The sequence below is a fragment of the Homo sapiens genome, chromosome 17, assembly GCF_000001405.40.
Source record: "Homo sapiens chromosome 17, GRCh38.p14 Primary Assembly".
NCBI classification, from domain to species: domain Eukaryota; kingdom Metazoa; phylum Chordata; class Mammalia; order Primates; family Hominidae; genus Homo; species Homo sapiens.
The window spans coordinates 34509542-34510549 of record NC_000017.11 but is presented as its reverse complement, the minus strand read 5'-3'; the positions used below and the strand labels follow the sequence as shown (position 1 = coordinate 34510549).

Here is a 1008-nt window from a genome sequence, read left to right as displayed (position 1 = left end):
ACACAATATCTTGAAGCAGCAACAATGGGAGAAGGCTGTAGTCCCCCTTGGGTTCTCCTAGTGTTGGACACTGACTAGCCATTTAAAATAAACTTTTTACCATAAAAATTTTGAACACATATAAAATAGAGACAATAATGTAATGATCCCCTATGTATTCATCAATCAGCCTCAGTAAATTCATGGCCAATCTTATTTCTTCTCTATACCCACCCACTCTCTCCTTCCCACCTCCTGTTATTTTCAGGCTTATCATTTTATATGGAAATATTTAATATGTATTTCTAGGGGATAAAAACTCTTTTAAAAACCATAACCATTCTACCATGGTCACCCTGTGGTAGGTCACCATAGTAATGACCTTTGATGAGCTATGGCCATTAGTGTTGGTGAAGTCCCCTCCTACAATAACTCTGAGCTGGACAATGTGTGTCTCTTTGGTCAATGGGACAAGAACAAATACAGCACAAGGCAGAGGCTCAGAAAGCACCTGCCCATTGGGGCCTTCCCTCTTTTGATGCTTACTATGAATGCTTCTGCCACCGTATGAAGGCAGGAAGAAGCCCAGGCTAGCATCCTTGAGAATGAGAGAACACAAGACCACAAAGAGGGAGAGAGAAAGAGAGAGAGAGAGAGAGGGAGAGAGAGAGAGAACAGCCGTTTCTGTTGAGGCTCCATGCATATGAGTGATCCCAGCCACACCATGTGGGATAGATATGAGCCATCCTAGGTGACACTGCCCATATTCATCGTCTGGCAGAATCATAGGTAGACAAAATATTTGCATATTTAAGTCACTGTATTTTGGGATGGTTTGTTATTCAGCAATAGCTAATTGATGCAAACACCCACCAAAAAAATCACAGTAATTCCTTAATGTCATCAAATACCTAATCAGTGTTGACATTGCCTTCATTGTCTCATAGACTTTTTTGTTTTGTACTTGCTATTATCAAGATCCAATAAGACCTATCTGTTTTGATTGGCATGTCTCTTAACTTTCCTTTA

At 40.4% G+C, this 1008-nt stretch overlaps 1 annotated feature.

The window, feature by feature from the left end:
• Positions 269-770: an enhancer, noted in NCBI's record as "NANOG hESC enhancer chr17:32836799-32837300 (GRCh37/hg19 assembly coordinates)". NCBI's record gives its function as "activates a minimal SCP1, AML or CMV promoter by ChIP-STARR-seq in naive H9 embryonic stem cells {active_cell/tissue: H9 hESC(naive)}" and the evidence as "EXISTENCE:reporter gene assay evidence [ECO:0000049][PMID:30033119]".